This window comes from Homo sapiens, chromosome 9 (genome assembly GCF_000001405.40).
Source record: "Homo sapiens chromosome 9, GRCh38.p14 Primary Assembly".
In the NCBI taxonomy this organism is placed as follows: Eukaryota; Metazoa; Chordata; class Mammalia; order Primates; family Hominidae; genus Homo; species Homo sapiens.
Window position 1 is genome coordinate 106,907,283 of NC_000009.12, and position 22,663 is coordinate 106,929,945.

Sequence of the window (22,663 nt, forward strand, 5' to 3'; positions counted from 1 at the left end):
GGATTTGGAAATACATTGGTAACAATCTTGTGCTTGAGACTTTAGACCAGTTTAAAAAGCATCTGATTTACTGATTCCTTAATGTCACTTAAGATGTTTTGGTGATTAGGTTGGCTATTTGACTGTTTGCTAGTCTTTCATTGATATTGTTTCTTCTTGGATTAATTTTGGTAATATATGTGTTTCTAGACACATTACATTAGTTTTACATATATTGCCATGAGTTTTACATGGTAATTTTAAAATTATAATACATTTTCCTTTACATTTTTGGATAGTGTCTACTTCTTATACTTATTTTCTATATTTATGTTTTGCCCTACTCCCTTTTTGTTGTTAATTAGGCTAGCTAATTGTTTTAAATTAATTTTATATAGCATATTTTTAAAAAATAAAAGTTACTGAGGAAATTACCTTATGATGTAATATATTGATTCCTGAGTTTGTTTTTAATGTAGTCAAATCTTTTCTTCGACTTTTCTTCTTCTGTCTTTCCATTTCCCCCTGTACTTGAGTTAGATGTTTGATTCATTTAGTATTATTATTTCTTGCTTTATAATTTTCATAGATCTGTGAAATTTCCTCTAAGTATTGCTTTTACCAGATTCCATATTTAAATACATAGCATTTTAAAAGTCATACTCTACTGGTGAGTTTTTATTTCTGGTTACCCCAGAAATTACTTAGGAGAATGTTAAAAAATTTTCTCAAATGTTTGGGATTTTTCTTTTTTTCTTTTTTTTAACATACCTTTATTTCACTGTAAGTAGAAATTGTGTACTATTTTTTAAATTTGTAATGTATTATCTCTTAATTGTGGCATTAAAGACTTCTATAAACCTCCACGGGCACTTGAAAACTTTTGTAGATGTCTCACAGATACTTGAAATGAAAATATGTTTTCTATTTCCAGATATAGAATATGAAATGTACCTCTTAACTCAGTTCTATGAATTACATGAATTTTATCCTTGGTGGTCTTTCTCCAATTAATCTGTTAAGTGCTTATGCCTATTTCTTGTATCTGTTGCCATCTTTATTTCTTTATTTATTTGGTGCTGCTAGAGAGCAGAAATATTCATAATAAATCTCCATTGTGGATTGTACTTTTACATTATTAAGTGTTCATCTCTATCATGTTAAAAGCTTTTGTATCTTGAATTTAACCATGAATAACATTAATCATGATTTCTTCCTTCTTTTGCTTGGTATATGTTTAATGATATTAGATTTTCAAACTTTTTGTATCATTTTACTATATATGTGTCTCTTACAGACAGAATCCAGTTAGAGATTGTTTTTCAATTTACTCTGGGGATATTTTCCAGAGGAAGAATTATCCAATTCACATTTATTGATATATCACATATACCTAATTCTAATTAATTTTATGCATTCTCTTTTATATTTCTGTGCAATTTCCTTTGTCCTCTTCATTTTATTATATAATCTGCATTTTCTTTGAGTTCTTTCCTCTAGTAATTCAAAGCTATAGTCTGTTTTTATTTTTATTACTGATTAAATTAATGTTCTTACACCTTTATTTGGAAATTTGTTAACTTCAGAAATGAAATAGTATGAGTATTTCTGTCCTGCTGTGAAAGTTGAGAATATTTGCCCATATATACATATATATATATATATATATATATATATATATTTTTTTTTTTTTTTTTTTTTTTTTTTTTTTTTTTTTTTGAGACTGGGTCTCACTCTATCACCCAGACAAGAGTGCAGTGACATGATCTCGGCTCACTGCAACCTCTGCCTCCCAGGCTCAAGCAATTCTCCTGTCTCAGCCTCCCGAGCAGCTGGGATTATAGGCACATGCCACTACCACCTGGCTAATTTTTGTATTTTTAGTAGAGATGGGTTTCACCATGTTGGCCAGACTGGTCTTGAACTCCTGACCTCAAATGATCCACTTGCTTCTGCATCCCAGAGTGCTGGGATTACAGGCCCGTTAATATTTATCCTCTAAAGCTTTTTCACTTCCATCTGTGTATTTTATTATGGTTAAGTTTTTTTTCCAATTCTACATACTTTTATAGTTATTGTTACGGAATTATTTATTGTTATAACCACTACATTTAAGGAATTATAATTTTATTTTGTAAGTATTATCAATTATTCAATTTTAGTTCTAAATGTAAGTGGATTCAATGCTCACAGCTTCTGCTTACCTCTAAATTACCTATTCTTGAGATCTTGATTTTGAACCTTCCGTTGGTTGTATTTTGAAGAAAAGTTACTTACATGCTGCATTCTCTGACTATGCTGATTAGAAAATCATTTTTTATTACTTTTATATATTTAAAAAACTGGTTGTGAACTTAGTTGGGAATTGAATACTTCGGTATTGTTCTCTCTTTCTTGAGCCTCTACAGACACAGCTTCACTTTTTTTCTGTCATCAAATGTTACTGTGAAAAAGTCAGAGGACACCTGACTTTTTCTGTTATAATTGACTAATTGTTAAAGGTCTTGATGTATATAGGATTCAATGTTTAGCCTTGAAATTCTGTAACCTCACCAAGATGTTTCCATTTTACTGATTCAGTCTTACTTTTTCTTGGAATAACAGATACTCTTTTATTTCAACTAAGTATTTTCTACCACAGATTTAAGCATATTTTGTTTTGCTTTGTTTTGTTTTGCTGTCTACTTCTACGAAACCTTTTATCTGTATGTTCGATCTGTTTTCAAACCTTCTTATCTGTCATCTTCTCCACTTGCTTTCATCTACTTGTCCTTTTCCTCTGCATTTTGTGCAGTTTTTTGAAGACTGTTTTCCACATCATCAACATTGTTTTTGATTTGTGGATTTTGCCTCTTATAACTTTAATATATTTATTACTTCTGCAATGATATTATTTTTGTCATCATTTTCTTTCTTCAACTGCCAGCCTCTCTTTCATCTTGTGCTGATGTCTTGTCATCTTGTCTTTGATCTCTTCTTTCATAGAATCTCTGTTAATTGTTGTATATAATTTTCTTCTGTGTCCTGTTCCTCCAAAATAGATTTTTTCATGGGTCGTTTCCATGCTACATTTTTCTGTCGTCCTCCACCCCTTGTTTTAGTTTTTTTTTTTTTTTTTTTTTTTTAATAACTCATTTGTCTTCGAGGCATAACTAGCAGAACTTTTTCTTGGCCCTCAAAAAATGAGAGAAACATCTCTTTAAATCCCCTCCTCAAGCCTTGCTTAATTCTGCTTTTAGAACCTGAGTTTGTGTCTTGATGGCTTGACTTGCTTCAGTAGTCCTTCAGCAGTTTAAAAGGGTTCTGGCTAGGTTCCTGGGCAGGACACAGTTGAATTTTTCTCTCTGAACTTCATGATTCTAAGTTTTAAGTCTTGCTTTTGATTCAAGGGTCCTGTCAGTTTATGGGTTTGGTGTGGCCAAACTCTTTTTTTCTTTGTCTATGTTTTGTCTTTCTTTTTCCCCAGCCAAGCCTTTGTTAGCAGTGTGAGACAATTAGCCACCATTTTTTTCTGGAAGTTTCTTTGGTTAGCCTAAAGCATATATCCTTCTTTTGAGAGATTTCCAGACACATCTTTGTCTTCAGATGTTGGTTCTTAACTGAGAGTTTAGCCCTGCAATATAGCTTTAGGGCAACAATCAAATGACCACTCTAAGCTTGGAGGTATTTTCTAATAAGATTTTATTTATCACGAAAGCGTCATGTCATGGAAGAGTCTGGGATCCTGAGGATTTACCCAACTCTTAGTATTTTCTAGGTAAAATACTCTGATTCTTTCCTTTGTGGATCCATGTCCTGCTTTAGAAATATCAAGGACACTGTGTCATGAACCCTTCTGAAGTTTTTAAGGGAGGTAGGTATCAGTATCAGCACTTGAAGTAGCCACAGTCTTCATTCTTTCAAGACCAGTAATTGTCTTTTATGAGTGTACTCATGTTAGTTTCTGATGCTGGTTCTGCAACTTAGTATTTTCTCATTAATTGCTATATAAGAAGTTAAATATTTGCAAACAGTAGTTGTCTCCTGTGCTCTTCAAGGACTGTGTAGCTATTATTGCATTCATCCAGTCGGCAGCATTTTAAAATAGGGCTCCAATGCAGTGGAGCAAGGAATGCTCACTGTTCTAGCTGGTGGTCTCAGGGACTGTTTCATACAGGAAGGAAAACTTGAGCTTGGTCTTAAAACTTGCTTGGGCCTCAGAATCACCCTGAGAATATGTAAAAAAAAATTACTGGACCTCAACACCAGAGTTTCTGATTCAAGTCTTGGGTGGAACTCAATAATTTGCATTTCTAACAAGTTCTTTGGTGATGCTGATGCTGCTGGTCCAGGGATTAGACTTTGAGAACCACTGTCGTAAAGGATGGGAATTACTTAGACCTTCCAAAAGCAGGTAAAAGTGTTCTACATGGAGGAAAACCGTGAACAAACATAGAGATCTCAACATCTTCCTGATTTTCTAAGCTATTCTCTTCAGAATGATAACAGGCTTTTCTAAGAGACCCTTAGGGAAGATAGTTTAAAAGTTAAAGATGATTCCCAGACTTTCTGATACATTTAGATTTTTTTATATCCAACAAATGGATATAGATACCCTCTAGGAATAAAGTTAGATAAATAAAGAATGGATAAAGATAAATTAATATATTAGTAAAGAGAGAAAAATATTCCAAGTTGGTTTCAGAATGCAGTATATAATTTGAAGCGAAATCCAGTATGAACAATATTCTGGTATCATTAGTCTGAGTCATTCACTAGATGTTCCACAAAGAGGCTGGCTTTTTTGACAGACATTCGTAAGGCTGACTACTCCTTTCCTTTCCATTTTACATGAACCGACCCTGCTATGTCCAGATCCTCCTAAGGCTCGTTCAGCTAGCCTCTTCAGTGACTTTGTTGGCAGTGCACATTTTCCATAAGAAACAAGATGATGTTTCTCGTGGGGTAGATTTGGCAGGCATAAAGCTACTACATAACATTGTTCCGACTCCATGAGGTTGGATTCTAAAGATAATTCAGTGTTATAGCTCTTGTTCTTCTGTGTATACCTTTGTCAGCAACTTTCAGTCTTCCAAACATGTTTCCAAAGTATAAACACACTGCTTGCATGCCTAAGAAGTTCTTTGAATAGTCAATCTGCAAAAAAATGGATTTTGTACCTTTTCAGTTACTCTCCTGGGTGTGGATTCAGAGTAGAGGAGACACTTGTGGTTATTCTGAAATCTGCCTTCCTGATGAAGACTCATTACTGAGAATATACGGGGCATGGACCTTAAGTGTGAATACTGTTGAACAACTGACACGTATGGAATGTCTTTACTTGTGAGTTCCTGTCTCAAATTATGAAATTCAAAAGATTTTTTTTCTGGCTTCAGAAAATGCATGTGCCAGAAGGCTTGGGCAGGTTATTTTTCTTGAGACTTCAGTTTCACTCTCTGGAAAATGAAGATGTTGGACCAGGTTGGACTATATGGTCTTTAAGATCTCCTCTCCATTGGACATGATGAACCTATTGATGGTTAACTTTTAGAGTAGAGTCTTCTCTTTGACTTAAGGAAGGCACAAATAATATTTCAATATTTTTCAGGGAGGCTAAGAAGAAAAAATTCTGTTTCTACCTGATTTTGTTACACTCCCTCCACTGAAAATGTTTATACAGTTTTGAGCTATAGGACAGAATTGTTCCTCTGGCTTTCCAGGATACTTTGCAAACAAGAATAAAAAAGGCTTTGTGGAGGGAAGGCAACCAAATGGTCTCAAGTGTAGTCAGGTGATGACTCCAGGTGTCACATCAGTTCAGGGTAGCTTAGCGGTGTTATAAACACATAGGTGGAACAATGCAGCCAGAGGCAGCTTCTCCATGGATGATGAGGAAAAGGAGGATGGTCATTTACTTAAAACTCATGGACAAGTGGAAACTTAGAATTGCCAGTGGAGACTTAGAATTACTAGTGTCTCAGTAGTCAGCTAACCACTGTGATGTGGCTTCATTAGCTTCATAAGCACTAGGTTTTGCTTTGTTTTTCTGTTCATGGATGCTCTCTGGAATTCCTTAGGTTCTTGAACGTTTAGTTCGATTTTGTACCACTGGTTAATTTTCTCCTGGAAAGCAGGCCTGCATACAGTTAGTACTCATAGCACAAATCTCATCAGAGCCAGACTTATGCCGGGCCCTGGGGATATAAGAATAAAAAAGAACGTATTACTTGTCCTCTGAAGAGTGACTTATAGTAGCCTGGGGCCCTGTCACTTTGAAAGAAGATGATTTTACACATTGGAGAGGAGAACATATGCATTGTTTTTCACAGAAATTTTAGTCAGAGGTCACATGCTAAAGACTTAACTTTTTTTTTTTTGAGACAATCTCATTCTGTGACCCAGGCTGGAGTGCAGTGGCATGATCTCGACTCACTGCAACCTCTGTCTCCCAGGCTCAAACAGTTTTCCTGCCTCAGCCTCCCGAGTAGCTGGGATTACAGGCACCTGCCACCAAGCCCGGCTAATTTTTGTGTGTGTTTTTAATAGAGAAGAGGTTTTACCATGTTGGCTAGGCTGGTCTCGAACTCCTTACCTCAAGTGATCTGCCCGCCTCAGCCTCCCAAAGTGCTAGGATTACAGGCATGAGACACTGTGCCCAGCTGACTTGACCATTTTTAATGACATTTGCCCCTTACTCACAAAACTCACAGGATTATCAACTGTGCAAAGGTGGATACAAAGGCCGTATCACTAGGAAAGACAGACCAGTCACATGCCTTCGCCTAGGATTTTTTTTTTTTTCTGAAGAGATTTTTGGTAACATACCCAAATTAGAAAAATAAAACTGAAAACTCATCATGATATCATATAGCATGAGGGCTGCTAAGATCATTTAGAACCACACAATTCTAAAATCTTGGACCTGGGCTCTCCCAGGTTGTTGACCCTCTAAGGATCCAGAGACTCCCCAGCCAGGACCCCATAAAGGGCCTCTGAAGACAGGTGGGTTATATGCAGAGAACGAAAATACCTGGAGATCATTAAGTTTTCAGTCTCAGCACTATTGACATTTGGAGCTAGATAATTCTTTGTCGTGGGGACTGTCCTGTGCGTTGTAGAATGCTTAGCAGTATCCATAGCCTTTACCCACAGATGCTGGGTATGATAACTAAAACTGCCTGCAGATACTGCCAAACAGCCCCAAGTTGGGGCAAGCGGGGAATAAAATTACCGCTCGTTGGGACTACTGCTTTATGACAACACAGGGTTAGTAGAGTCATCTAACACTCATGACCAATCTCTGTTGGTTGGTTGGAATCCTATCATTCAGAAGCTCTAGTTCATTCATTTGTTCCTTCCTTCATTCAGCGTATATTTCTGAGTACCTGTTGAGTACACTGAGTGTTCCCAAGGCTGAAGAGCCAGACAGACCTAGACTCCTTCTAAGGGTACTTGTGTTCTGGTGGGAAGAAAAGACCACAAACAAACAAGGGTCATGCCAATAGTGAAGGAAATAAAGTAGTGGATTGTGGTAGAGAGAAACTGTGTGTGGGTTGGTGGTGTGAGTAGGGGTTTCAATTTTGTAGATTTTGTAAGGGTTGGGAGTGGTGGCTAAGATAGAGTTGTCAAGGAAAGCCCCTGGATTTAATTTATAAGAAGGCAGTCACATGAAGATTGGCATTTATATGCCTCTGAATAATAAAATGTAAGGGAATGAATTTAATCAGGAAAAAAAATCTTAGAAAATATGAGAAGAAAATCTTGTAAAACAGGTCCTTTGTACAAAAAGGTTGAACGTCATGATCTAATCTCTTCATTTAACAAAATGATCAAAGTAAGGGCCTCAAAAGACTTGCTCTCAAGGTGAAGATGGCAGGCAGAGACATCATACCTACTGTCGCTTTTTGGTTTTAGTGATCTGAGAACAAATTCCTTAATGGCTGGATAGGCATTTCTGTATGTTTTTTTTTTTTCTTTTTTTTTTTAAAACAGCTCAACAGTGGATATGCTGAAAAACCTAACTTTGTTGGGCAAAAGTGGGATTTATCATTAAGGATATATGGAATTCGAGGCTTGGCTCCTTAACTGAGCACTGTAGTGTTTTCACCTGGTAATAAAGTCTACTGTTGTGTTGGTGGACAAATGTCTAAGCTTTCTGCTCAGTTCTTGGGATGTAAGAAGTTTTAGGAATAAACTTACTTGCTAAAAGTAGATTGGGGATTGCAAGAGAAAAGAAATTTCTTAGCTTTCATTTTTAGAACATTTCTAATTTTGGAGTATATTCCAGTCCCATATAGAAACACATATGGATGTTTCTCCTGCTATAAGGTTGCATTAATTTGTTGAAGCAAGGGTGGGGAAACTAATGTATCTGAATGGGCCAGTTGGTTAGTTTGATAAGAGAGAAGGACAGCCTTCTGTTGGCTTCTGCTACAGGCAGAAGTCAAGAAGAGGAAAACAAAAAATCACAGTCCCCTTGAGTAGGAGGACTTGAAAGCATTTACGGTCTATATAGGCTCAGGCACTGTTTGCCTTTTCAGAAAGCAGGGGTTTAGGACTTTATCCTCACAGGGTAGTTATATTAGAAACCATGGTTTGGAGAAAGACACACAGACAGGCAGATCCAGGTGCCAGGCTTAGGTAATCAGTTTTGTCTGCTATAAGAAAATAGACTGGAAGGGTTATTACATCAGGGGCTGCCACTGATGGAGGCAGGCTCAGAATCATTCTCGTCTAAAGCAAGTGAATTGTCTGAATTTTTTGAGCAAATGATGAGCATACAAAAGTGAGCAAGTCTCAGGGAGATTAGATTGAGATTTTCCCCCAGATAAAAGAAGTTATTTCAGCAAAACTTCCTCACACACTCCGCAAGCCACTGGCCATACATCATTTTTTTTTTCTTTGCATAGTAATAGAAAACAAGGTAAGTTGTTAAAAATGGTTTCTGGATTCATTCACTGAATCTGTAAAATTGAGACTTGGTATGTTTGGCTGAATCTTGTGAGGCACGAACACTTTGGGCCATGAAGACGCACCCAAGGCCCAAGGTCAGTCAGGCTGACCAGCCCCCAGGGAAAGTTCTCAATTCATGTCTTGGTCTTTCATGATGTGGAAGATGACTTGTACTGCAGCTTCTGCTTACTCTGCGTCTTAATCAGTTCTGTAATGAAGACCCAGCAGCATATCTGCAACTTCCCTTTAATTTTACAATTTTTGTAATGAGAGTTCTTGTGTGAAAAGTGTCTGTAGAAACCCAGCCAGCATTCTGAAGAGTCGATAAAGCAACACCGTGATTTTCTGTCTCTGCTGTTTGGGCGAGGTTTAGCTCTGGGGGGGGAGAAATCAGTTATCTGTTGTTCTAAGTACAAGGGCAAGAAGAGCTGCAGTTTCCAAGGAACTTCCTGGTGAACCCATGACATTTCAGAGAATTCCTCAATACTTATTATTTCTCACTTACTCATTCTTAGGACACCAAGAATGGGTTCCCATCATTTGAAAGGACATGATGAGCTGGAATCTCATTTATCATGGTTGCATTTTGAGAATTTCATTGAGGGGGAGTCGTCTTCATTTTGTTTTGTTTTGTTTCTAAACCACATCTCAAGAAAATTGTCAAGACGCTTCTCAGAATTAGAATTATCCAGTGAACTGCAAGTTCCCCTTTACAGACAATGAAGTCTAAAGCTACTGAGATATCAGCCTGCTTCCTCCCTTTCTTTTCTTGTCCCTTCTCTTCTTTTATCTCCTTATTCAAATCACACGCTTCCTTTTCTACGGACAGGAGAGCTGGCAGACTGCCTATTGGCCTGTTGGCCTCAATTAGCCTTATATCATTGCAAAGGAATGCATGAATTCTCCAGAAGGTATGTAGTATCTCTTTCTGTATGAGACACTTACTACCTGCTTTCATAACAGGTCACTCAGCCGGAATGACTTCTTATTTACATATCCAACATTTTTAGCCACTTGGATTACATCCCTAGATGCTCATTTCATTTTAATGATGATTCCAAAGGTATCTATTAAGAAATAGTACTCCAGCATACTCTGTAGTACTTGAAAACTTTATGCAGGAGAGCGATCCTAAAATAAAAAGTAACCTGAAGGCTAGCATCCTTGGCCAGTAGGTGATTGGGTTATTAATCTGCAAATTGCCTGCTTCAGACTTTGTGCTTATATACAAGGTCCCACAGATGGACCAGGCCAACTGTATACAACAGAGGCCACATGCATTGGCAGGACTTCATCTCATGGTATTTCCCTGCTACTATTTAACTTCAGTCTCATATTGGGGGTTACATATGTGATTGCAAATTAATCCTTTCTCTTCTGAAAATTTGGTTTTGAAGAACAGCTGTGTCTCCCTTCTGAATTCCTTAATTATTTATCCTCCCTGATATGTTAAACCTTTCATTAGTGTGGTGAATTGCCAAGAGTACACAGAACTGCTTAGATCATGTAGCAAAAAGTATAAACATTTGATAGGTCATTTGAAGACTACATGGTGAGCCAGAATCTGTAGTAGTACCAAATGCTATGGGATTGTTGGAGGTAGCTTGTTGTTGGAAGTTGCTTGTTGGTTTATTTTGCTGGTTTATTATTTTTTTATATTTATTTATTTATTTATTTATTTATTTATTTATTTATTTATTTTGTGACAGAGTCTCACTCTGCCACCCAGGCTGGAGTGCAGTGGCGCGATCTCGGCTCACTGCAACCTTCTTCTCCCGGGTTCAAGCAATTCTCTGCCTCAGCCTCCTGAGTAGCTGGGATTACAGGTGCCCACCACCACACCCGGCTAATTTTTTTTATTTTTAGTAGAAACAGGGTTTCACCATGTTGACCAGACTGGTCTCGAACTCCTGACCTCCTGATTCATCCACCTCGGCCTCCCAAAGTGCTGGAATTACAGGCGTGAGCCACCACGCCCTGCCTGCTGGTTTATTGTTTTACACTATAACATGGAGATAGTACCGATGTCATTTGTATTTATTCAGAAAAGAACTGATTCTGCCCCCAGCTCTTGTTAAATTTGGAGGGCATATGCCCATATATGAGTTAAAATTAAATCAAGAAAATTAATTACATATATCTGTATGTCATTAATTATATCTATAATTATGTGTGTTTGTGTATAGATATATATATTTAGACATTCTATATTTGCATTTGTAGATTTGATTCCATAACTGCTGTTCCTGAAAGAGATTTCACCTCAACTTTTCAGGTCATTACTCTTTGGAAAGATGCTTTAAATGATTATTAAATTATTAGAACTTCCACTTCAGCCATAACAAGTGTAAATGATTAGTAGTGATAGAGAACTTCCCTTGTTGCTAAGAATAGCAACCCAACATTTATAAGTTTACTAGTGCCTTTTTAAAAAAAATCATTTTTCATCTTAAGGTCCTGGGGCTTGCAACTGAAAATATTAATCTCCCAATACACATCACAAATCTTTGACCTCAGCATATCAACAATTTCTGATCTGCAAATACATTTTTTAGAATGATCTTTAGTCTCTTGATTTTTCTGTTTTTCTAGCTGAACTATTCCAGAATTTATGTATTCTATTACCTGTCCTTGGATAATTGGTTTTTCCATTCATAAGAAAGAAAACTAAGAAAAGTTCAAACAACAGGTGCTAATGAGAGCCTTTTATTAGAATTATGATTGAGGAGAACTGGGAAGTTTAGTGTCTTATAAATGAAACTAGGTTTCTGGAGTGGACAGAGGAAAAGCACCTTATGGTGTTTCTGGTTCTATTTCTCAAAGGCTTTGAAGGTTATAATTAGTTGCTACTGAATCACATGGCTGTGGTGCTTCACAGCTTTATTTCTGGGCTGCAGTCCTTCAGTCAGAGAACAGGTTAGATCCAGGCAAGGCCTATGCCTTTTAATTTGATCACTTCCTGAAGAGAGCTGGGATTTTGACTTGAGGACCACATTTATGCTCCTGGGCCCTCAAACTAAAGAGCAGTGTTTGCCAAGCTGACCTGGACCAAGTGATGGTGGCGGGCCTGTAAGAATGCTGTACAATGTCAACACCTCCCCGCTCCGGTTACGTCTGAGCAGTGAGTTGGAAGGATGGACGATGAAGCTGTGGTTTGTCTCCTTCCTCCTTCACAGGAGGGAAAACTGAGGCAAATGGATCTCTGGAATTCTGAGCACAGAAAGTAGGTGGGCAGGTGGTATAAATTAAAATTGGTGTTCTTAAGATTGAAAATGAGCAGGCTTTGTCCATAATTTACTTTTCCCCATTTCTGTATATATGTTTCAAATCTTTGACATCATCTCTGGATGTTCTTTATATCTTAAAGAGTTTGTCAAACATAAACAATTGGATTGTGGGTTTGCCCATCAAAACCCCACATTTTGAAATCCTTCAAACTGTAAATGCAAACTGAACAAACCAGCAACGAATAAGTAGTACTAAAGGCAGTGACTAATTAGGATGGTTTAGGGGTTTCATGTTAGGAGGACCAGTCACATTAGGTGCCAGTTATTTTAGAATGAATCTGTGTTCACCTTGCAGGGATCATGATGGGTGGTGTTTAAAGTCTAGGCATCTGAGGTCTATTTGACCTTGAAGGGCCTAGACATATATCTGGGGTAGAAGACAGGGATGCTTGTTTGATATGTAGATTCATCTCATGACCTTTTGAAATAGACTCTTTTTAGTTAGTTCAGAAACTTCCTCTTTTACTTTTGATTTTGCTGATTTTGGTGAGAAAAAATATTGCTAATTTCATAATCATAGTATTATTAAATGAAGTCAATAGATATGAGATCAAAGCTTTTAACTTAAAATCATAATTTTATAGCAGATCAGTGACTAGGTTAGCCTCTTAGGGTTGCTGCTCTTCGGGATTGATGAAGAAGATATGCAGAGCTTATTTCTCACCTTTTTTTTTTTTCCTCGGTTTTGGTTTCTTAGAGGATTACCATCTGCTGCAAAAACATATGAATGGGTCATCGTCATGTCCAGTGTGTTTTTGTCTCTGTCCTTCTCTACTCCCTTCCCCTCCACTTGCTGTCACTTTTTGCACATGTGCCCATGTACCATCTCATAAACATATCAAGTTTCTCTCTCTTTGATTGGGCCATGCCAGCAACTTCTATTTTCTTCTTCTGTCAGCGTCTTCAGGAGAAATGTGTACACAAAAGCAAGATGGCTTTCAAAGTAGGCTACATCCTCCTTTCAGTACTTGGTGCAGACATGAAATTGAAGGCCATTCAGCTCTACCTGATGCTGGTTCTCTCAGCGGCCTGGAGATTAACCTCTTCTAAGGCTCTGAGCTATTTTTGAGGCAGAGGCTGCAACAACATTAAAGCTAGAACCCATTAGGAAATCACTTTCATCATCTCTTCTTTTTCCAAATCAGTGACTCTTTTTCTGATCTCATAACCCTTTAATCTCCTTTGTAGCAGAACAAGGAGATTGTTAGTTTATGTTTGTGTCCAGTGAAGTTAGCATCCTTGATAATAGCTTCAGAAGACACCAAGATATTAGAGAACTACATAGAGAGATGAATTTCATTTCTAGGTGGATGACTTAATGCCGAAGGTGCCCTGCTTTCCTTCTGCAGAACCGTAACTTCTGTTGATGTTGTGCAAATCAGGCTCAAACTTTCCAAAAGACACACAGCAGAAAGCCTTTTGTTGCATTATTTCTAAAGGCTTGAAGTTTTGAAGGGAAGAGATTTTGTTTTCCTCTCTGCTACACAATGGAGCTTTCAGAGAACCTCCTTTAAAAGGAATAGCTACAGCCTTTGTGTTGAAGGGTGTGTCTGTTGGCAGGGTCTGCTGATGCAGACAGACTGGCTGGTGATTAACAAAGGTCATTAGACTTTGGAATCTGGCAAGCAGAGTCGGATGGTATGTCTTCTGTGTGTGGAAGGACGACTTCCAAGAAGCCAAGGCATTCTGGAGGTCCCCCCACTGCACCCCTAAATCCTGATGTAGAACAGGATCTGGCCCAGGGTCATCCTGCTCTGACCAGGGCTCTGCTGGGACTAACAAACCAGCATATCAATCATGGAATAAAAGAACCTTTGGAGATCTTGGTGAATGACATTTGAGGAGGAGAAAGGTGCTGCTTTTCAGAGAGAAATGAAAACAGTTAATTCTTTGTTGGGAAGAGAAGAGCATAGGAGGAGCCCAGCCTGCTCTTCTAGCATTCATTTCTGATTGTTAGCCTAGCAGACTCCAGGAGAAGCCATGTTGTGCACGGAGGAGAAGCTCTGAGCTAAAATGGCTGCCCCTAAAGCTCAGAGGACTAGGGCAGCTTAGTGAGTCTTAGAGCTTCAGTGACGCAGGAGCTCATATCTCTTGAAAGTGTGATAAACACATTCAGCAGAGCTGTGGCTTGTTTGGCTGAGATGAAAGGACTAAGCTTGGGGGATGGGGAGTGCACACTGGATGATCTGCTTTTTTCTGTGAAGTGTTCTAAATGCAGGAGTTGTCTGCACCATGGAAAAATTTGTTTTCAGGTCTAATGGACTGTGCGAAAGGAGAAGTGGGGTGGGGCCTCAGTGACTGCTGTAATTTGATCCAGAGCTGATAGCAACCTCTTCCACACAATTTGGGTTGGTGCTTAGACATAAAAGCTTGTGTATCTGGAATATTGAGACTTAGCTGAAAAGAGTCTGGTGCACAGTTCAATGTTTATTGAAAAAGGATAAATTGCTGGGTGAAAGAAGAGGAGGTAAATATCTGCGGCTCACTCTGCAAGCTCAGTCTGTCCAGAACTGGACTTGCCAGAAGTTATTTTAGCAGGCGATCAGGAGGAGCATTCTTTGATAGAAAATCCTTGTGTGATGGCTCCTTTCACTACATTGATGTATTATTACTGGACTTTTTTGTTCCTGCAGAAATAATTTATCTTTTACAGTAAAAGTATAGAGTATTACATCATAAAATACATTGGCTACGGTGTTAGTTCTTGGACATCTGGTTCTAGATTACAGTGACTCAGTAGAGTTTGTGATGATCTTACTGAAGTAACTTACTCATTAGATAATAACAGGGTATCTCAACTTAGGATATACATTAAGATAGGAAGGACTCCACCTTTCTAATACATTTTTGACTTCTTGATGGTGGGACTCTCCTTTGAGTTAGTGTGTAGCTTTCTGTATATTTCAGTCACAAAGTAAATAGCAGAATGAAGGTAGCTGGGCAAGTTTTGATTTATTCCACGGTAGGTTCACAGCTTTTTGCATCCAGGTATGTGCTTCATGTTTGTAAAGGAAAGAAGTGGAAAAAGGTAAAGTCATGACTTAGAAGCCCTTCTTCAAAAATGCAAGTTTCTGTTGTCTTCATGCAAATTGAGGTGCCAAGGTGCAACTTTAAACAGAAACTGGATTGTCATCCAAAGTTGGTTGTTTGAAAATCTCATGAGGAATATTTTATGACCTAATTAGATTGAAGAAGCTGTTAGGTTATAATTGGTAGGTAGTAAAACAGCAAATAGTCATTTAGCTCATGGAAAAAAAAACCCACAACTAAACTATTTGGAGAAGGGAGGAAAGAGAGGTGCACCCCAATATCAGCAAAGTTATTAAAGTAAGAAAAGCTACAATAAAAATGCTCTACCTCCACCCCCAAGATTTAAATACTATTTCACTAATTGGTGATAAAACACCAAGGTCATAATACTAAATAAACAGCTAATGAAGGTTGAAATTTTCCCTTTCTTCTGTGTGGACATCCTCTTTACTTTTGAGATGGTTCCAATTTAAAAAGAAAATGAGTCCAAGGCAGAACCAAAGCCAACATTAAGTTACCAAGAAATTTGGATTCAGTGGAGAAGCTCAGAAACTTCTAAAACTTTTGAAGTATTAAGCGTTTCCTTGACAAATGGCATTGGAAGACATATCATGCTAGAAAATGTTTATCTGGTATTTTTCCTTCTTTGAAGTTATGAGGTCAAGGACATCATCTCCATTATGTCTGATTGCCTCTCTTTAGCCAATGTTCCAACTGGCAAAGTCCAATAAGAGAAATCTACTGATACTGGAATTTTTTCCCATTAATGGATATATAGCCCCATCAGCTCGAGGTATGTGATTAGTGCATTCCTTAAGATGTTTTGTTCTGACTTCTGCCACAGGTTCCTAATGTGAGAGGCTAGACCCAGATCATGGAGGTGCTTCAGTGTGATGGCTGTGATTTCCGAGCCCCGTCTTATGAAGATCTCAAGGCACACATTCAGGATGTCCACACGGCATTTCTGCAGCCAACTGATGTTGCTGAGGACAATGTGAATGAGCTACGATGTGGGTCCGTGAATGCCAGTAATCAGACAGAGGTGGAGTTTTCTTCTATAAAGGATGAATTTGCCATTGCAGAAGATTTATCAGGTAAATCTATACTAAACTTGGCACGGCCGATGTATTTTAATTGCTCTTGTTTCCTTTTAGCCTGTAGCCATGGTTCTTAATATACGTGGCTTTTGCAGAGTTTCTTGTGCTTTGCTAGCCATTTTTGTGGTTTGGGCATCATGTATCTCTCCTTGAGTACCTTAGGTTTTATCCTTTCGAAAGCTTCCTCATATATCCTACCTTTCAATTTGGAGAACAAGATAGTTGCTTGGAAAGTTCTAGAAAAAGTAGTACAATTTATGCAACTTGTATTTTTATAGCTGTGTGGCTCATTTATGGAGATGAGGAGAATACCTAAAGCTATACACTGCATCTTTATCCATGAGAAGGTGCAGTACGTATATCTTCATTGATGCTTTGTGAATACTCTTCAAGGCCTCATCTTGAGACTTCAGGCCTTTTGCATGTGATGTTTAGTAATGAAGAATAATTGGAATGGTACTGATTTGCATGATTGGATATTTTAATTATCTTTTGCTTTGTCACTTTCCTTATGCTTTTTCTTTAGGTCAAAATGCAACTTCATTGGGGACCGGAGGTTACTATGGCCACAGTCCAGGATATTATGGTCAGCATATTGCCGCTAATCCCAAACCAACAAACAAGTTTTTTCAATGCAAGTTCTGTGTACGCTACTTCAGGTCAAAAAACCTCCTCATAGAACACACTAGAAAGGTCCATGGAGCTCAAGCTGAAGGGAGTTCATCAGGACCCCCTGTCCCGGGATCCTTAAATTATAATATCATGATGCACGAGGGATTTGGAAAGGTCTTCTCTTGCCAGTTTTGCACATACAAGTCACCAAGAAGGGCAAGAATAATTAAGCATCAGAAGATGTATCACAAAAACAATTTGAAGGAGACCACTGCTCCCCCACCTGCTCCTGCTCCAATGCCAGACCCTGTGGTTCCGCCCGTATCACTGCAGGACCCCTGCAAGGAACTGCCAGCAGAGGTTGTGGAGCGCAGCATCTTAGAGTCTATGGTCAAGCCTTTGACCAAATCTCGAGGCAACTTTTGTTGTGAGTGGTGCAGCTACCAGACCCCCCGCCGAGAACGCTGGTGTGACCACATGATGAAGAAACACCGCAGTATGGTCAAGATCCTTTCCAGTCTCAGACAGCAACAAGAAGGAACTAATCTACCTGATGTGCCGAACAAGAGTGCCCCCAGCCCCACTTCCAACTCCACCTATCTGACCATGAATGCTGCAAGCCGGGAGATACCCAATACTACCGTCTCCAACTTCAGGGGCTCCATGGGCAACTCCATCATGAGACCCAATTCTTCAGCTTCCAAGTTTTCGCCCATGTCTTACCCTCAGATGAAGCCGAAGTCACCTCACAATTCTGGTCTAGTTAACTTGACAGAGAGATCCCGTTATGGAATGACTGACATGACCAATTCTTCTGCTGACCTGGAAACTAACAGCATGCTAAATGACTCTAGTTCTGATGAAGAGTTAAATGAAATAGACAGTGAGAATGGTTTAAGTGCTATGGATCACCAGACATCAGGCCTGTCTGCAGAGCAGCTGATGGGCTCAGATGGCAACAAATTATTGGAGACCAAGGGGATTCCATTTAGAAGATTCATGAATAGGTTCCAGTGCCCCTTTTGTCCTTTCCTCACCATGCATCGACGTAGCATCTCTCGTCACATAGAAAACATCCACTTATCTGGAAAGACAGCTGTCTACAAATGTGACGAATGTCCGTTTACTTGCAAGAGCTCGTTGAAACTTGGGGCTCACAAACAGTGTCACACGGGTACAACGTCAGATTGGGATGCTGTGAATTCCCAGAGTGAAAGCATTTCTTCCTCACTGAATGAAGGTGTGGTGTCTTATGAGAGCTCAAGCATCAATGGTAGAAAGTCAGGAGTCATGTTGGATCCCTTGCAGCAGCAACAGCCACCGCAGCCACCACCACCGCCGCCGCCACCACCACCATCACAGCCACAGCCACTGCAGCAGCCACAGCCACCACAGCTGCAGCCACCACATCAGGTGCCACCCCAGCCACAAACACAGCCACCACCAACGCAGCAGCCACAGCCACCCACACAAGCCGCACCTCTGCACCCATACAAATGCACCATGTGTAATTACTCCACCACAACTCTGAAAGGGCTAAGAGTCCATCAGCAGCATAAACATTCATTCTGTGACAACTTGCCAAAATTCGAGGGGCAGCCCTCAAGCCTACCATTGGAAAATGAGACAGACAGCCACCCCTCTTCCAGCAACACTGTGAAGAAAAGTCAGACCTCAATTCTTGGGTTGTCCTCCAAGAACAATTTTGTAGCTAAAGCCTCTAGGAAGCTCGCCAATGACTTTCCTCTAGATTTGTCACCCGTGAAGAAGAGAACCAGGATTGACGAGATAGCAAGCAACCTTCAGAGCAAAATTAACCAAACCAAACAGCAGGAAGATGCAGTGATCAATGTTGAGGATGATGAAGAGGAAGAGGAAGACAACGAAGTCGAGATAGAGGTTGAGTTGGACAGGGAGGAAGAACCGACAGAACCCATCATAGAGGTTCCCACTTCCTTTTCTGCCCAACAGATATGGGTAAGAGATACCAGTGAGCCCCAGAAAGAGCCCAACTTCAGAAACATCACCCACGATTACAATGCCACCAATGGGGCTGAGATTGAGCTCACCCTTTCTGAAGATGAAGAGGATTATTATGGCTCCTCAACAAACTTGAAAGATCACCAAGTTTCCAATACTGCTCTGCTGAATACCCAAACTCCCATCTATGGGACTGAGCACAATAGTGAAAACACAGACTTTGGTGACTCTGGAAGGCTTTACTATTGTAAACACTGTGACTTTAACAACAAATCTGCCCGGAGTGTTAGCACCCACTACCAACGAATGCACCCATACATTAAATTCAGCTTTAGGTACATCTTGGACCCCAATGATCACAGTGCAGTGTACAGGTGCCTGGAATGCTACATCGATTACACCAACTTCGAAGATCTCCAGCAGCATTATGGCGAGCACCACCCAGAAGCCATGAATGTACTCAACTTTGATCACTCGGACCTGATCTACCGGTGTCGGTTTTGTTCATACACGAGCCCGAATGTTAGAAGCCTGATGCCACATTACCAAAGAATGCATCCCACGGTGAAGATCAACAACGCGATGATATTTTCAAGCTATGTCGTGGAGCAGCAGGAAGGGCTGAATACAGAATCCCAGACCCTGAGGGAGATTCTGAATTCGGCTCCCAAGAACATGGCGACTTCCACACCTGTGGCTCGTGGTGGTGGTTTGCCAGCTACGTTCAACAAAAACACTCCTAAGACCTTTACTCCTGAATGTGAAAATCAGAAGGACCCTTTGGTCAACACTGTTGTTGTTTATGATTGTGATGTTTGTTCGTTTGCAAGCCCCAACATGCATTCTGTCTTGGTTCATTATCAGAAGAAACACCCCGAAGAAAAGGCTTCCTACTTTAGGATCCAGAAAACTATGCGAATGGTGTCTGTGGACAGGGGCTCTGCCCTTTCTCAATTATCATTTGAGGTGGGTGCTCCAATGTCTCCCAAAATGTCCAACATGGGTTCCCCACCCCCCCCACAACCCCCGCCACCAGACCTCAGTACTGAGCTTTACTACTGCAAACACTGTTCCTACAGCAATCGGTCAGTTGTGGGAGTGCTTGTCCACTACCAGAAAAGACACCCAGAAATAAAGGTTACTGCCAAATATATCAGACAGGCTCCTCCCACAGCTGCAATGATGAGAGGGGTCGAAGGGCCCCAAGGCTCCCCCCGGCCACCCGCCCCCATACAACAGCTGAACCGAAGCAGCTCTGAGAGAGATGGCCCTCCTGTGGAGAATGAGATGTTCTTTTGCCAGCACTGTGATTATGGGAACCGGACGGTCAAAGGGGTACTCATTCATTATCAGAAGAAGCACCGAGACTTCAAGGCCAATGCAGATGTGATCCGGCAGCATACGGCCACCATTCGAAGCCTCTGCGACCGAAATCAGAAGAAGCCTGCCAGCTGCGTGCTTGTCTCCCCCTCTAATCTGGAGCGGGACAAAACGAAACTCCGAGCACTCAAATGTAGGCAGTGCTCATATACCTCCCCCTACTTCTATGCACTGAGGAAGCATATCAAGAAAGACCACCCCGCCCTGAAAGCCACAGTCACGTCCATCATGCGATGGGCATTTCTAGATGGCTTGATAGAAGCTGGCTACCACTGCGAGTGGTGCATCTACTCCCATACGGAGCCCAACGGTTTGCTCCTGCATTACCAACGGAGGCATCCAGAACACTATGTTGATTACACCTACATGGCTACTAAACTGTGGGCTGGGCCAGACCCATCCCCTCCCTCTCTCACAATGCCAGCCGAAGCCAAAACCTACAGATGCAGGGACTGTGTTTTCGAAGCTGTTTCCATCTGGGACATCACTAATCACTACCAAGCATTCCACCCCTGGGCCATGAATGGTGATGAGTCAGTGCTACTGGACATCATCAAGGAGAAAGATGCTGTGGAGAAGCCCATTCTTTCATCCGAAGAGTTGGCAGGCCCTGTGAATTGTGAAAACAGTATACCCACCCCTTTCCCGGAGCAGGAAGCTGAATGTCCAGAGGATGCAAGACTGTCCCCTGAGAAAAGCCTGCAGCTAGCTTCAGCCAACCCCGCCATATCCTCCACCCCATACCAGTGCACGGTATGCCAATCTGAGTATAACAACTTGCACGGCCTTCTCACTCATTATGGGAAGAAGCACCCTGGCATGAAAGTGAAGGCTGCTGACTTTGCCCAGGACATTGACATCAACCCAGGTGCCGTCTACAAATGCAGGCATTGCCCATACATCAACACCCGCATCCACGGCGTACTGACCCACTACCAGAAGCGACACCCGTCCATCAAGGTGACCGCTGAGGACTTTGTGCACGACGTAGAGCAGTCTGCTGACATATCCCAGAATGACGTGGAGGAGACGAGCAGGATCTTCAAGCAAGGGTATGGCGCCTACCGGTGCAAACTGTGTCCGTACACACACGGCACTTTGGAGAAACTAAAAATCCACTACGAGAAGTATCACAATCAGCCTGAATTTGATGTCTTTTCCCAGTCGCCCCCGAAGCTGCCAGTCCCCCTCGAGCCCGAGATGACCACTGAAGTGAGCCCTTCCCAAGTCTCCATCACTGAGGAGGAGGTGGGAGAGGAGCCCGTGTCCACTTCTCACTTCTCTACCTCCCACCTGGTCTCCCACACTGTGTTCCGGTGCCAGCTCTGCAAGTACTTCTGCTCCACGAGGAAGGGGATCGCCAGGCACTACCGCATCAAGCACAATAATGTCCGAGCCCAGCCAGAAGGCAAGAACAACCTCTTCAAGTGTGCCCTGTGTGCCTACACCAACCCCATCCGCAAAGGTCTGGCAGCCCACTACCAGAAGCGCCACGACATTGATGCGTATTACACTCACTGCTTGGCAGCCTCCAGGACCATCAGCGACAAGCCCAACAAAGTGATCATCCCATCCCCGCCCAAGGACGACTCCCCTCAGCTGAGCGAGGAACTCCGGCGGGCAGTGGAGAAGAAAAAGTGCTCCTTGTGCTCTTTCCAGTCGTTCAGCAAGAAGGGCATCGTGTCCCATTACATGAAACGCCACCCAGGGGTGTTCCCAAAGAAGCAGCACGCCAGCAAGTTGGGGGGCTACTTCACGGCCGTCTATGCAGATGAGCATGAGAAGCCCACACTGATGGAAGAAGAGGAGAGAGGCAACTTTGAGAAAGCCGAGGTGGAGGGTGAAGCTCAGGAAATCGAGTGGCTCCCATTCCGCTGCATCAAATGCTTCAAGCTGTCCTTTAGCACTGCAGAGCTGCTGTGCATGCATTACACTGACCACCACAGTCGGGACCTAAAGAGGGACTTCATCATTCTGGGCAACGGCCCCCGCTTGCAGAACTCCACCTACCAGTGTAAGCACTGTGATAGCAAACTGCAAAGCACAGCCGAGCTGACCTCACACTTGAACATTCACAATGAGGAATTCCAGAAGCGTGCCAAACGTCAGGAGAGGAGGAAACAGCTTTTGAGCAAGCAGAAATATGCAGATGGTGCTTTTGCAGATTTCAAACAAGAGAGGGTAAGGATATGTTTTGATTTCCCTTCCCCCAGGAGGCCTCTCATCACTGGTGCCCACATGCACTTCTTCGTTGCCAGCCAAACTGCTGCAGGCTTCCTAGTGACTTAGCTTGCCAGAGAGCTCAATAAGTCAATTAAACATTTCGAGCTTGATTATCTCCCATTCTGTGCTCACCCCTCTCCTTGG

At 41.1% G+C, this 22,663-nt stretch overlaps 1 protein-coding gene across 36 annotated transcripts in view, besides 1 other annotated feature; it reads left to right on the forward strand.

Annotated features, from left to right (window-relative positions):
• The window catches only part of ZNF462 (zinc finger protein 462), a 153,477-nt gene that overhangs the window by 47,125 nt on the left and 83,689 nt on the right, over positions 1-22,663 (forward strand). For 22 of the 36 annotated variants that reach the window (XM_047423662.1, XM_047423672.1, XM_006717212.5 and 19 more), the window contains 2 exons: positions 16,072-16,321; positions 16,851-22,477. In XM_047423662.1, coding sequence (XP_047279618.1) covers positions 16,102-16,321; positions 16,851-22,477 — 5,847 coding nt within the window. In that variant the 5' untranslated portion in view covers positions 16,072-16,101. Of the gene's footprint in view, positions 1-3,105; positions 5,302-6,550; positions 9,822-11,813; positions 12,138-16,071; positions 16,322-16,850; positions 22,478-22,663 lie in introns of those variants that run through there. The other 14 variants (XM_047423680.1, XM_047423685.1, XM_047423681.1 and 11 more) reach the window with 6 other exon arrangements.
• Positions 8,829-10,028: an enhancer, noted in NCBI's record as "BRD4-independent group 4 enhancer chr9:109678392-109679591 (GRCh37/hg19 assembly coordinates)". NCBI's record gives its function as "activates an origin of replication core promoter dependent on BRD2, P300/CBP, MED14 and CDK7 cofactors, and independent of BRD4, by STARR-seq in HCT116 cells {active_cell/tissue: HCT116}" and the evidence as "EXISTENCE:reporter gene assay evidence [ECO:0000049][PMID:35650434]".